The 14,309-nt window shown below is 46.0% G+C and overlaps 1 long non-coding RNA gene and 2 pseudogenes across 1 annotated transcript; all 3 read left to right on the forward strand.

The window, feature by feature from the left end:
• On the forward strand, nt 3,550–11,229 carry LOC339666 (uncharacterized). Its single transcript, NR_038918.1, has 3 exons — nt 3,550–3,607; nt 4,212–4,623; nt 10,142–11,229. It is a non-coding gene; the product is annotated as an uncharacterized LOC339666 (long non-coding RNA).
• Nucleotides 3,568–4,021, forward strand: IGLCOR22-2 (immunoglobulin lambda constant/OR22-2 (pseudogene); annotated as a pseudogene).
• On the forward strand, nt 13,554–14,202 carry RGL4P1 (RGL4 pseudogene 1; annotated as a pseudogene).

Below are 14,309 nucleotides of genomic sequence, written 5' to 3' on the forward strand. Positions count from 1 at the left end.
TAAGTTTAGAGAGGCAGGCTTAAATAAGTAAATGTTTAGGATTTGAAATTTAATTGTACAAGTATTTTTTTCGTTGAATTTCCTCCCAACTTTGTAAAATCATCAGATCAAAAACACATCATTTGATTAGGGTGCAGTTTTATAGTACCTAACAATCAAGATTTTGGAAAAAAAAAAAAAAGTTGATGATGGTGAATTTTGATAAATTCTAACATTGTCCTAGTTGAAAGAGGTAAATATGTTTTTATATGTGCTAAGAATTGTCTAATTTAAGAGTACAATGATGTTGTTATGACTGTTGATAAATTTCAATCGTTTTTGAAATTATAACTAAAAGAATGTTTTTATTTGGCTATTATTCCAGTTGATTTCAACAATGCTAAGTGAAATACATGTATCAGAACAAAATCATGATGATGTCACAAATGTTAACTATCTAATAGCTACTGTAGGTCAGACTTTTTTTTAATTTGAGTCTAATTTGTTTCTTCCATCTTAAAACTCTCTAACATGAATTAAAGGGCTAAAAAGATGTACTGATTAGACATTTTTGATTAAAGGTTTGGTAAACTAAACAGTACTTTCATCTAGCATTAGGAATATTGAAAGCAAGAAAATGGATTATTTAGTAACTATGTAAAATGCATTAGTATTAGAGTTGCATTACTTAGTATTGTGGTTGTCATCTAGCTTTTTTTTTTTTTTTTTTTAAACGGAGTCTTGCTCTGTCGCCCAGGCTGGAGCGCAGTGACGCGATCTCAGCTCACTGCAACCTCTGCCTCCCGGGTTCACGCCATTCTTCTGCCTCAGCCTCCCGAGTAGCTGGGACTACAGGCGCCCGCCACCACGCCCGGCTAATTTTTTGTATTTTTAGTAGAGACGGGTTTTCACCGTGTTAGCCAGGAAGAAATGTTAGTGTAGAAAGGTAATATATTCCAAAAGAATCTGTTTTTCTTAATGAAGAGTATCCACACAGACACTCATAGCAAAAAAAATTATAAGATGCATCAGAGATAAATAAAATAAAGTGTAGTCTTCCTAGAGCTGGATTTAGTTTCTGGTTTGATTTATTTTAACGACAGACATAAGAGATCACTTCGTAATGAAGTACAATTTCACACTATAGAAACAGAGTAAAAATATCTTTTTGAAGAAAATGCCAAATCTACCTTTAATCTCAAGGAAATAGGATCGCTCAAATAGATCTGTTAGCATGTTACATATTAATAGACAACCTGCTGTGTAAATTACTTAAAAGCCATCTTTTGCAAAAATTTTCTCCCATTCTGTAGGTTGCCTGTTCACTCTGATTATCGTTTCCTTTGCTGTGCAGAAGCTCTTTAGTTTAATTAGATCCCATTTGTCAATTTTGGCTTTTGTTGCCATTGCTTTTGGTGTTTTACTCATGAAGTCTTTGGCCATGCCTACGTCCTGAATGGTATTGAGTTCATGTCCTTTGCAGGGACATGGATGAAGCTGGAAACCATCATTCTTAGAAAACTAACACAGAAACAGAAAACCAAACACCACATGTTCTCACTCATAAGTGGGAGTTGAACAATGAGAACACATGGACACAGGGAGGGGAACATCACACACTGGGGCCTGACGGGGGTTGGGGGCTAGGGGAGGGATAACATTAAGAGAAATACCTAATGTAGATGATGGGTTGATGGGTGCAGCAAACCACCATGGCACGTGTATACCTATGTAACAAACCTGCACGTTCTGCACATGTATCCCAGAACTTAAAGTATAATAAAAAAATAAATAAAAATTTAAAAAATGGTTAAAAAGCCATATTTTAAAAGGTTTTTAAAATTCACAACATACTCCATTTTTGATATAACTTCTAATATTTCTTCTCTGTGGTAGAAATTTGTTCCTGAGAAATAAGAGGCCAAGGATATTACAAGAGCACAAAAAGTTTACATAAATGTGTTAACATTTTAAAGGCAACTATATATGAATAACATTAAAACATTGTTAAAAATTTATTAGAATGAATAATAAAATCATCAAGTTTATACTTAATAAGATCAAATATATTGCTTATATAATTTTAAAAGTAGTGCAGAATGTTTATTATTCTAGTCTCACTAAAAATGATAAACTTCAAACATATCTATAGGAAAATAATTACAAAACTCAGCAAGTAATATGGGAGATAATTTGAAGAAATGTTGAAATAGTTTCTTACATAAAGACACTAGGTATTTCTTTCATAAAGGACACTAGGTAAAAGTTCCAGCAATGAGTAGGGAGGTGATCTAGGTACATTTTATTATTGATTATTGATACAGGTTTTCTCTTGAGAAAGTGCACAGTTGGGCTCTTCTCTCTCTCTCCTCTCTCTCTCTCTCTCTCTGCAAGACAGTTAACAACAATAAAACCCACCTGGTCAACCCATCGACAACACTCAGCTTTATCCCTATCCCTCTCTCACCGTTCCTCTAGGGACACAGTTACCCTGTGGTTTCTCCTGGGTTCTTTCTCCTTCCTCCTCCAGATCCCTGGGATCAGCCATCAACCCTCCTGATACCCCCTCTCCTGTTTGGCTGCCTTCAGGCTCTTTGTTGAACCTGACACCAAAGGATGTCTTTTTAAACTGTCAGTTTCATCTATTCTGCCTCCAGTTCACAACCCGAAACAATCCCAGATAATGAATCAAACCAAACCCCTCACTGACACACAAGGACCTCTACAGTCTGGATTCAAATGTCCTTACCTGACTTGACACTTACACTTCACTTGTTCAATCTTCTCATCAATGATGTATTCTGTCATCCCCTCAGCATATCATTGCATTGAAAATGTCTCTTTTTTTTTTCCAAAGCCCTATCTTTCCAAAGCTAGTAATGTGTGAGTATTTGTTCCAGAGCAGGACCCCACAGCCCAGTGAGACCCAAGTCACAATCACCTCTTTCCCTGGCCTCTGTGGAAGGAGCTGCCCAGGACTTTGCTCCCAGAGCCCTCTGCAGCCTCCCCGCAGCCTCCTTTCATTGGGTGGAGGTGATATTTTGCCCATGTCCTTCTAGTAATGCAAGAAAAACGTATTGAAAAATGCTGTCTTTCTTTTAGTATCAGCAACTTGGGCCATGGCCCAGGGCGTGGCCATAGATACTTCTAGACTGACACTCACTAGGCTCTCAGGCCGACACCACTCACATGACTTCTACTGAGGGAATGCAGTCTGGCGAGAGAGCAGCAGGAGACACTGTGGATCTCAGGGTCTGTGCAGTGGGCAGCCACAACTGTGCCAACCCCCTCCTACCCCACAAATTCCGCAGGGCTGGGTGATGGAGCCTGCACTCACTGAGGCTGACCTGGAAGCTGTGCCCTCCCTGGGTGTGGTTCCAGCACCCACTTCTTCCCAGGTCTGGCCTGTCGGACTTCCCCTGTCCACCAGCCCCTAGGACTTGAATAAATACATGGGGTAAAGTAGAGGCAGGCAATGTGGGGACACATTGGCATCTGTAACTCCTCCTCTGTGAGGTCAGTGGAAGGGATAAGAGAGGCCTGGAGCAGCCCACTCCAGCTCTGGACCTCAGAAGGGCTGTGTCCACCATGGCTCCTGTCCTCCTGCTGCTCCTCTCTCACTTCCCAGGTAAGGACAGGCCTCCCACGTCCAGGGCAGGTCCCCCAGGCTTCAGCAGTCCCCTCTGGCTCAGATCTTCCAGCAACTTCATGCTGGTAAGTGAGCCAGCAGCCATATCCACCTGTGTCTGCAGGTTCCCTCTCCCAGCCTGTGCTGACTCAGCCGCCCTCCCTCTCTGCATCTCTGGAAGCACCAGCCGCACTTCCCTGCATCCTGAGCACTGGCGTCCATGCTGATTTCTATTGGATATACTGGTACCAGCATAAGCCAGGGAGCCCTCCCTGGTATCTCCTGAGCCACTACCAAAATGTACTTCATGACCAGGGCTCCAGGGTCCCGAGCTGCTCCTCTGGATTGATGGAAGGCTGGTCCAATAAAGGGCTTTTGCTCATATCTAAGCTCCAGTCTGAGGACGAGGCTGACTAATTACTGTGTGATTGAGCACAGCAGTCCTTCGCACACTGACACACAGGTGGGGAGGCGGGATAAAACCTCAGCCTGCTCAGAGTCTTGTTCTCTGACAATGTTTAGATATTAAAATAACTCACATATACAAACTTCACAGGAAAGCACTTTCTGGCTCAAAAAATACTCTCTTCTCAATTCTCCATAGAATGTTTCTGAAGTCTCAGGAATGCTGAAAACAAAAACAAAAACCTCCTGATACACTGCGGTGTTGCCCGGTTATCTAGATGAGCAAAACTCAGAGCCTGTGGAGTTGACTTTTTTATTATTATTATTTTTTGGAAGAAGAGAAATGAGCCTTTCCTAGTTTTCTTTTCGGCCAGAGGCCGGAGACCATTCAAGCAGGTAGACAGTCGCTACAGCATGGACTACTGTCTTTGAGGGATCAGAGCAGAAACCTCCTTGTCCCTCTCCAGTCACCTCCCTCCAACCCCGATCATCTGTGCTTGGGGCTGCCTGAGGCTCCCCGTGACCCAGGGATGAGGCACTAAGGTGTGAAATGAGTGAGGACACAGGTCCCAGGGGAGTTCCAGCGAAGATGTGGCCAGAGTCACTCACAGGTAGGTACCTGCACCTTCAGTGTTCATGTCAGGAGGTTGGGGGTATGGATGGGGGGAAATGAGGGCCTGAGGCCAGCAAACCTCTCTGTGGAGCGTGAGAGGGTGAAGGCGAGGCTCCACCATTGCTGGAAAAACACCATGCCTGCTCTGGGGAAGTTGGGGGATGTTGATTTCATGGATGTGACTTTCCTATAGCTGATCCCACTCAGGACCACAGGGACCCCCATGGGTGATTTTCTCAGAGACCACAGAAACTATCTTGTGTTTTCTCCTCTCATACCTTACCATTGGAGCTTTTCAACAGTCCAGGTGGCGGGGAGGGTTGTGGGACATCAGGGAGTAGGAACTCCGCAACCTGTGCATGCAGAATTCCCCTTGTAAAGCTCTTGTTGTGCCCCAGACCCTGAGGTCACCTTCTCCTGCACAAGGGGCAGTAGAGACATTGGGAGTTACCATGGCAACTGGTGCCATGGACTCTGAGGCAGAGCCACTGTGTTTGTCACCTAGGACAGGGAGGATGGACCTTCAGAGATTTGAGCCTCATTATCCAGATGCAGGTTTGTCAATAGAAACCCTCTGTCCACCTCTGGACTCCAGCATTATGGGTAAGGCTGATTGTCTCTGTCACATAGCTGAACACAGCCTCATAAACAGAAAGAGCTCCTGATCCATGGAAAAATGGATAAAAATGTTGTCCCTCTCATCTTACCAGAATGTACGTTGGGCCAAATAGTGGCCATGGCACTAGCTGTGTAGGTGGCAGCTGCAGAGCCAGGGGCAGTGGATGGGCCAGGGGGATACGGCAGGGTGGGTGCTTGTGGGGTCAAGGTAGAAGTGGTGAGTAATGGCCCCCCAAGGTTGAATGTGTTTTGGTGCCTGGGGCTGGCTGGCCTCCAGGAGGCTGGGGCTGGACTGGAGCTGGAGGTGGCAGGCCTCCAAACTGGAAACAGTGGTCAAAGGTGGGGATCTGTGCTGCTGCCCCACAGGGGCCCCAGATATGGGCTAAGCAGTGGCTCCAGGGTTAGTGGAAAGTTTCAAATTTGGGGTGGGGCCACAGAACCCCAGTGCAGGAAGGTGGTAGTGTCCTTGGCTGAGGCTGTGCTGCCACCTAGGGATGTGGGAAGGGTCTGGAAAGATGGAAAGTAGTTCCCACTGGAGCCAGCAGGAGGCCCTAGAATGAGAGGCTAGGAAAGGGGAGTGGTGTCCGTGGGGGTGACAATGGTGTCCACTGGGGAGCCAGTCCTGCAGATGTGCTGGCTGAGGGCCTGGAACTGGCTGCACATGCAGCGAATGGCTGACCAGGGAGAGAGGGGCCTTAGGATCCATGAGGAGAGAGAGGCCCTGAGTGAAGAAGACAGGAGAATGCATACACATTTTTGTTGGGGTTGACTACTTCATTATGGGGGTGCTGCGAGACATGAGGAAGGCTGAACTGGCACCTGCTGCAGCTGTGGCTAAGGCCGTGGGGCAGGCCTCAGATGTCTTGAGCAGCCACCAGCCTGGGTCAGTGCCCTCTCTTCCTCTCTTTGAAGAGCTAGACTTGTATCCTTGCTGCCTCACCCATGAGCATCTCTGTTCCTGGTTTCCTCTCCGAGTATGCACTGACTCACTCACCTCCCTATCTTTATCTCTGAGAACTTCGAGACTTGCCTGTGCTCTGAGCAGTGGCTTTAATGTTGATGACTTTGTGACCATGTGGTATCAGCAGAAGCCAGGGAATCTTCTCTGGGTTCAACTGTACTCCTCAAGTCCACTGTGGGGATTAGAAATCCAGGGGCTTGGCTGGGCACCGTGGCTCACACCTGTAATCCCAGCACTTTGGGAAGCCGAGGTGGGTGGATCACAAGGTCAGGAGATTGAGACCATCCTGGCTAACACAGTGAAACCCCATCTCTACTAAAAATACAAAAAATTAGCCGGGCGTGGTGGTGGGAGCCTATAGTCCCAGCTACTCGGGAAGCTGAGGCAGGAGAATGGTGTGAACCCGGGAGGCAGAGCTTGCAGTGAGCTGAGATCGTGCTACTGCACTCCAGCCTGGGCAACAGAGCGAGACTCCATCTCAAAAAAAAAAAAAAAAAATTACTGTGAAAAATATTCCATTACATATTCCCAAGCAAATGAGCTGCATCTTCTTTACTGTATTTTACAATTTAGTACCACAATTTTAGGCCTCAATCTTCTCTTCACATCACTGGTATTTTAAATTTGGCAATAAATATGAAATTCCTTTTGACTTACAGACTCATTATATTATTACTTTGAAAACGCATTAATTTCTTAGGAAGGTTTTGAGCCTCTATCTTTTTTTGAGTTAATATTTAAATTCTCTGCTTATTTTAATAGCCTGTACTAAGTGAAAATAGTATTTATGCAAGTAAACAAATCACTATAGGTGTTCAAGACTTTAATTTTAAATTTTGTCATCATTGAGGTTTAAATTTTTTACCTGCTGTCCACTTAAAATGTATATTAACAGCTTGTGACGTAAAATAGTTTTAAGTATGATATACGATGCACCTGCATATAAATGAAGATGGCGTGCACAAAGACACTTTGCTATGGGAACTGTACTGGAAGATTTATGAAAGCATGTGAAATTGCACCTAAAATTGTGCTATTAGTGACTATAAGCAGCAATGCTAAATTTATTGTACTTGATGAATGAATGTATTTAGTCTAGTGACAATTACTTTGGTTTAAATGTGTAAATGTCTTGAGTTTTTTTTTTAAAGTGTAATTTGTACTATTGTGGGGGTGTACTTGGACTGCAGGGGTTATTGTCAATGTGTGATTTGTGTTTTTATTTTATGTATAATATATATTTATTTTATATAGTAGATGATTTCATAGAATCATCTAATGTGATATATCAATTTTTTTTTATTTTGAGACGGAGTCTTGCTCTGTCACCCAGGCTAGAGTGCAGTGGCGCGATCTCGGCTCACTGCAAGCTCCACCTCCCGGGTTCATGCCATTCTCCTGCCTCAGCCTCCTGAGTAGCTGGGATTACACGTGCCTGCCACCACACCCGGCTCATTTTTTTTTTTGTATTTTTAGTAGAGACGGGGTTTCACCATGTTGGTCAGGCTGGTCTTGAACTCCTGACCTCAGGTGATCCACCCGCCTCGTCCTCCCAAAGTGCTGGGATCACAGGCGTGAGCCACAGCAACTGGCCAGTGTGGATTTCTAGAGAGGGGGAATTCTTCTCCACACTTGTTGGGGAAGTAAACTAATACATACACTACGGAAACAATGTGAGGCTTCCTCAAAACATTAAAACTACAATGACCATTTCCGCTAGCAATTGTACTGCTAGGTATACATTCAACCCACATGAAATTGGTACATGGAAGAGAGAGGTGGTGGACTGCAGCACTATTCACAGCAGTCAGGGAAATGAATCAACCTACCGTCCATATGCAGATGAAAAAATAAACTCCCATGTGTGTACACAAAGGACGACTCTTCAGCCAGGAAAATTCGATGACATCACCTCATGGGGAGCCCTGTGGTTGTACCTGGAGGATGTGATGGTAAATGAAATGAGCCAGGCAGAGAAAGACAAACCTTGTATTATCTCACTCATACAGAATCTAAAAAAAAAAAACTTGATCTCAAAGACCTAGAGAGTGTAACAGCGGTTACTAGAGCTTGGGGGAAGAAGGGAGGATGATAAGGGATTGGAAATAGGTGCATAAAAAATTACCACTAAAGTATGCAAATATAAATATGTGGGACTAGGTAAAACTTTAGGATTTCTACAGAGCAAAGGAAACAATGAACCAAGAGTCAAGGCACCCTAAAAACTGAGAGAGAATTTTGGAGAAAATTCTATCTCTGAAACGGATTCTCATCTAACATGTACAACAAACTGACACGACTAAGGTGAAATAAACAGTATCAACAACAAAATGAAAAACCCCTGCAACCTCAAATACCCAATCCTAAAGGACCTGAATAGACCCTGTCTGAAAAGGAGACATGAAATTGACACAAATGAAAAGTTTCTCACAATCACTAATTCTCACAAAAACATAAATCAAAATCACACTCAGTTACTATTTTATTTCACTAAAAATGCATATTACCAGGCCAGGTGTGGTGGCTTATGCCTGTAACCCCAGCATTTTGGGAGGCCAAGGGGGGGTGGATCATGAGGTCAGGAGTTCAAGACCAGCCTGGCCAACGTGGTGAAACCTCATCTCTATTAAAGATACAAAAAATTAGCCAGATGTGGTGCCACGTGCCTGTAATCCCAGCTACTCAGGAGGCTGAGGCAGGAGAATCGCTTGAACCCGGGAGGTGGAGGTTGCGGTGAGCCGAGATCATGCCATTGCACTCCAGCCTGGGTGACAGTGTAAGACTCCATCTCAAAAAAAAAAAAAAAAAAGCATATTACGAAAACAAAAACAATAATTTTTGAAGGGGATGGCCAGTGCAGACGTGCAGAAAGGAAAACTCTCATACACTATAGGTAGGAATTAAATCACTCTACACACTGTGAAAAACAGTTGGAAGTTCCTCAAAACGCTAAATACAACTACCGTTTCAGCTAGCAGTCCTACCACTGGGTATACCTTTAAAGCAAGTGAAATCCTCATGTTCAAAAGAGGTATCTGCCTTCCCATGGTGACTGAAACACTAGTCACGACAGCCAAGGTACAGAATAAACCTATCTGTCCATCCTCAGGTGAAGGGATAAAGAAAATGCCGTGTGTGTGTGTGTGTGTGTGTGTGTGTGTGTGTATGTATATATATATATATGTATATATATATGTGTGTATATATATATATATGTATATATGTATATATATATATAATGAAATACTCTTCAGCCATAACACTCCAGGAAATCCTATCACCTCTGCAGCCAGGTGGAGAAAGCTGGAAGACATTAGGTAAACTATGAAATGACCCTGGTTGGAGAGAGATCTACACTGCATGATCTCAGGCATGCAGGATCCAAAAAATTTATCTCCTAGAAGCAGAAAGTTCAATAGCGGTTACCAGAGGCTGGGAAGAGGAGGAGGCCTAGGCAAGGAATGGTGAGCCGAACGCTCCCCACTCCAAATGTATTTACTTGTTTAGAGACAGAGTCTTGCTTTGACATCCAGACTGGAATGCAGCGGTGCCATCATGGCTCACTGCAGCACCCACCTCCCAGGCTCAAGTGGTTCTTCTGTCCTAGCCTCCCAACTGGGACCACAGAAATATGCGAACATTTTCAGCTAATATATATTTTTTTAATTTGTAGGGACAGGGGCTCCCTATTTTGCCCATGTTGCTCTCAAACTCCTGGGCTCAGGCAATCCTCTCACCTTGACCTCCCAAAGTGCTGAGATTCTAGGCTTTAGCCACCATGCCTGATCGTATGTTTACATGTTGAAATTCTAACCCTCAATCTCATGGTATCAGGAGGTGGGAGGTAATGAGGTCCTGAGGGTGGAGCCCGCATGAATGGGATTGCTGGCTTATTAAAAGGAACCCCAGAGAGCTCTCTTCTCCCTCTCTCTGCCAGGCGAAGACACAACCTGAAGTCTGCAGTCTGCCACACAGAAGACAGTCCTCACCAGGGCCCAACCAGGCTGGCACCCTGATATCCGACTTCCAGCCTCCAGAACTGGGAGAAATACAATTCTGTCTGCCCTGGGGATGAGCTCCCCAGGCTATGGCTCTTTGCTCTAACAGCCTGAACTAGCATAGAAGTGCTATCCCATCATCTGGGTTGTATTCTATTCAGAAAGGCGTCACTAACCCCTCAGTGCTGTGATCCTTGCGGACGCTGCCCACCATAGGCTGAGATGAGGCACAGGGTCTGGTTCTAAATAGAATCAGAAGGCACTGGAAAGTGCAATGTCAGAGGACGATGAGGGCTGAATTTCATATAATCTCAGCCTCTACTGGTGCGCATGGAAAACGAGGCCCAGAGCAAAAATGCCTTTCTCGAGATCACACTGTGGACCCCAAGCCCATTGGAGTTGTATTCCATGCTACCTCTCACCCCTCACTTCTTCTTGAAATTCTTCCATCTCTAAGCGTGTGCAGTATCTACAGGGGACACCAAACAATGAGTTTTATAAGATTTATCTCAAAGACACCTGATGAGTTCACCAGGAAGGAGATGCTAGCAAAACCCCATTGTGCATGTTGCAGGGCTGGGGAGGCCCCAAAACACCAGAAAACTTCTCTAGGGTCACAGAACTGGTAAGATCAAGGAGGTTTGGCCCAGCACTGTCTCCTCAAACCTAGGGCCTTAGTTGCCTCCAGGTCTTCCCAGGGTGACGAGGGGGCACTTTTTTTGCATAATTTGGAACAGGTAAGAAGTTGGTAGGAACAGGTAAGAATAGGGGGTTGGTGAGTGGTCAGAAGCCCAGTGGGGCCTTTGAGTAGGTCTTATGGACGGAAGGAGCATAGGGGATTGGACCTGGAAGAAGTGAGTCTCCTCTCAGATCCTGGGCCTTGTGATGGGCTTTCTCCCACCCTGGAGTCTTCCGGCATTTTCCCCCTGCCAAGGGCTGAAATGGCCTTAGCTGTTTCTCCAGACTCCCTTTGATGTTAAAGGATGAAATCCAATTATATTCCTTTAAGTTAAAGCATTCTTCTAAAGCATCTTGTCCTGTGCACTGTCTCTAAAATGAGGAGGGGACGAGGCCTCCCCAGGCCCTTTCCCTCCATATCAGAAGTGGAGCTTCAGGTGGCCTAGAGGGGATTTCATGTAGCCCTCCCTCTGGAAGGTGCTGAGTTCTTTTTTTTTTTTTTTTTTTTGAGACAGAGTCTCGCTCTGTCATCCAGGCTGGAGTGCAGTGGCGTGACCTCGGCTCACTGCAAGCTCCGCCTCCTGGGTCCACACCATTCTCCTGCCTCAGCCTCCCAAGTAGCTGGGACTACAGGCGCCCGCCACCATGCCTGGCTAATTTTCTGTATTTTTAGTAGACACGGTTTCACCGTGTTAGCCAGGATGGTGTCGATCTCCTGACCTTGTGATCCGCCCACCTCGGCCTCCCAAAGTGCTGGGATTATAGGCGTGAGCCACCACGCCCGGCCAGGAAGGTGCTCAGCTCTGACCCAGGTGCTGCTGCACTGCCATTTGACATCCAAAAGCCCGCGTCTCCTCATCTCTACCATGAGGATGATTTTTGAGGACTCACTGGGATGATGCTCTTGTAGGCTACTAATACAGCAGGTGCCACTGCTTCACAGCTGACAAACACCGTGAGGATGCCTTGAAGGCACTAATGTTTTTCATTATTCTCCACTTTTTTTTTTTTTTGAGTCTTGTTTTTTCACCCAGGCTGGAGTCCAGTGGTGCAATCTTGGCTCACTGCAACCTCCAACTCCCGGGTTCATGTGATTCTTCTGCTTCAGCCTCTCGAGTAGCTGGGACTACAGGCACATGCCGCCAAGCCCAGCTAATTTTTTTTTTTTTTTTAGTAGAGACAGGGTTTCACCATATTGGCCACGCTGGCCTCAAATTCCTGATCTCGTGATCCGCCCGCCTCAGCCTCCCAAAGTGCTGGGATTACAGGCGTGAGCCACCACGCCCTATTCTCCACTCTTATGTCAAATTTTAAAGTCTAGAACCTTTTCCACCATGGGAACCCATGTCCTCCACATCCACAAGTCTCCAAAGGGTTGGGGATTCCTTGTGTGAGCTCCAGATCCCAATCCTCTGGTGGTTCATGGTGTTGTCAATGACAGGTCTCTCCTTGTCACCCCAGTATGAAAATGAGGAGACTTACAGGGTGCGAACATTCCAGATAGGTACAGGGGAGAAACTGGTGAAGGCCCTGGTTCCAGCCTTTCTGGGTAGAACCATCTCCTCCTATGCCACCTGTTTGGGCCCCTCCTGGGACTTTATCACCGTGCCAGACTTCATGGAGGAACTGTTTACCAGGTGAATGTCCATCCCCTCCAACTCACAGTGGTGACTGTCTCCGACTAGCTGTGTCTTGAGGATGTCACCGAAGCCCTCTGAGCCTGTTTGCTCCTTTGTAAAGCAGTGAGATGAACCTCATAGGGTTCTTATGGGAACTAAATGGCCTAAGGCATGGCAAGCAGGTCCCAAGTGCCTGGCTCTGTGAAAAGGCTGCTGAGCATGCTATAGTTCACATTTATTATCTTTCCCTTCAATGGAGCTCTGGGCATGCTGTCTCAATGGCCCATATCCCTGTTTGGAAAAGCACACAGAAAGCAAATCTGTTTTTGCATTTGTAAAGGATGTCTGTGATTCTTTCTAACTGGTCTTTGTCCTTGACAGAGAAAGAACAGTGGTCCCTTGGGTCCTGAAGGAGGGGCCCCAGGCTCACTCAGGTATCTGTAGAGGTTCTGGTTGAGGTTCATTCATTCAACAGATATATATGAAAAATGTAATTTATGCAGTCACTTTTCCAGTGGCTTGGCATAATTTAGTAAAGAAAGCAGATGACAATGCCTGGGCCTCAATTCTACTTGAAGTGTCAGATACTTCCAGTAGAGCGCATAAGCAGGTCATATCCACAGAATGTTAGATGTGACAGCCTCATGGCCTCCTCTAGGTATGGTGGCATCTTCCCAGGTTCTGGGACTAGGATGACATAGCCCAGGAACAAGTATAAACTGGGTGGATTTAGGGTTCTGAAGGGTCTTTTGACTTCCAAACATACGTGGAGGAAATATGTGGACTGTAGCTGGGAAGAGACTGAAAAAACCCTGGGTCTCATCTCTCTTATGATTCCCATGAGAAAGTTGAGATCTAGGGACTTTCCCTACAAAAGGAAAGGAGAGTTGTAGATGGCACCTTAGGTCCCCAGTAAAATATAGGGGAGGCTATGGCCAGGGCCGACCCCCAAGAGAACCATTCCCAGCACAGGGGTTTCCTATCTCTGCCTGTCCTCCATGCCACATCTGCCTCTCCCAACCCAAGCACCAAGTGGCCCAGAGCTGGAGTTTTGATGGGCAACCTGCTCACACATCTGCCTGGAGCTGCAGTTGTGAGTGCCCAGGTGCTCAGCACTGTGTGCCAGGGCCTTTGGGAAGAGAATGTCAGTAGGAAGCCGGGGCCCGCAAGGGTCTGTATAGCCCTGCTGCATGGCCAGGTCTGCCCCTATCAAGACAGCACAGATGGCTGGGGCTGGAGTGGGGCTGTCCTCTACACAGGAAGCAACAAGCCAGGGGCCCAGAACCACAATAAAAAGCCCCGCAAGGGCCAGGCGCGGTGGCTCACGCCTGTAATCCCAGCACTTTGGGAGGCTGAGGCGGGCGAATCACGAGGTCAGGAGATCAAGACCATCCTGGCTAACACGGTGAAACCCCATCTCTACTGAAAATACAAAAAATTAGCTGGGCATGGTAGCGGGCGCCTGTAGTCCCAGCTACTCGGGAGGCTGAGGCAGGAGAATGGCGTGAACCTGGGAGGCGGAGCTTGCAGTGAGCCGAGATTCCGCCACTGTACTTCAGCCTGGGTGACAGAGCGAGACTCAGTCTCAAAAAAAAAAAAAAAAAAAAAAGCCCTGCAAGGCATGTGTAGGAGGGAGGCCAGGCCTCTGGTTCTGCTGTGCCCTCCATCACCAGCACCACCACCTACCTCCATTTTGTTCACCCGGCCCCATGGATACAAAAACTCTGCCGTGTATTTAGAATAAGAAAGGTAGTAAAGCTATGAAGACTTTGTCTTTTGGGCCGCTATTCCTTAAACCTCCCCATACTCC

This window comes from Homo sapiens, chromosome 22, assembly GCF_000001405.40.
Source record: "Homo sapiens chromosome 22, GRCh38.p14 Primary Assembly".
NCBI classification, from domain to species: Eukaryota; Metazoa; Chordata; class Mammalia; order Primates; family Hominidae; genus Homo; species Homo sapiens.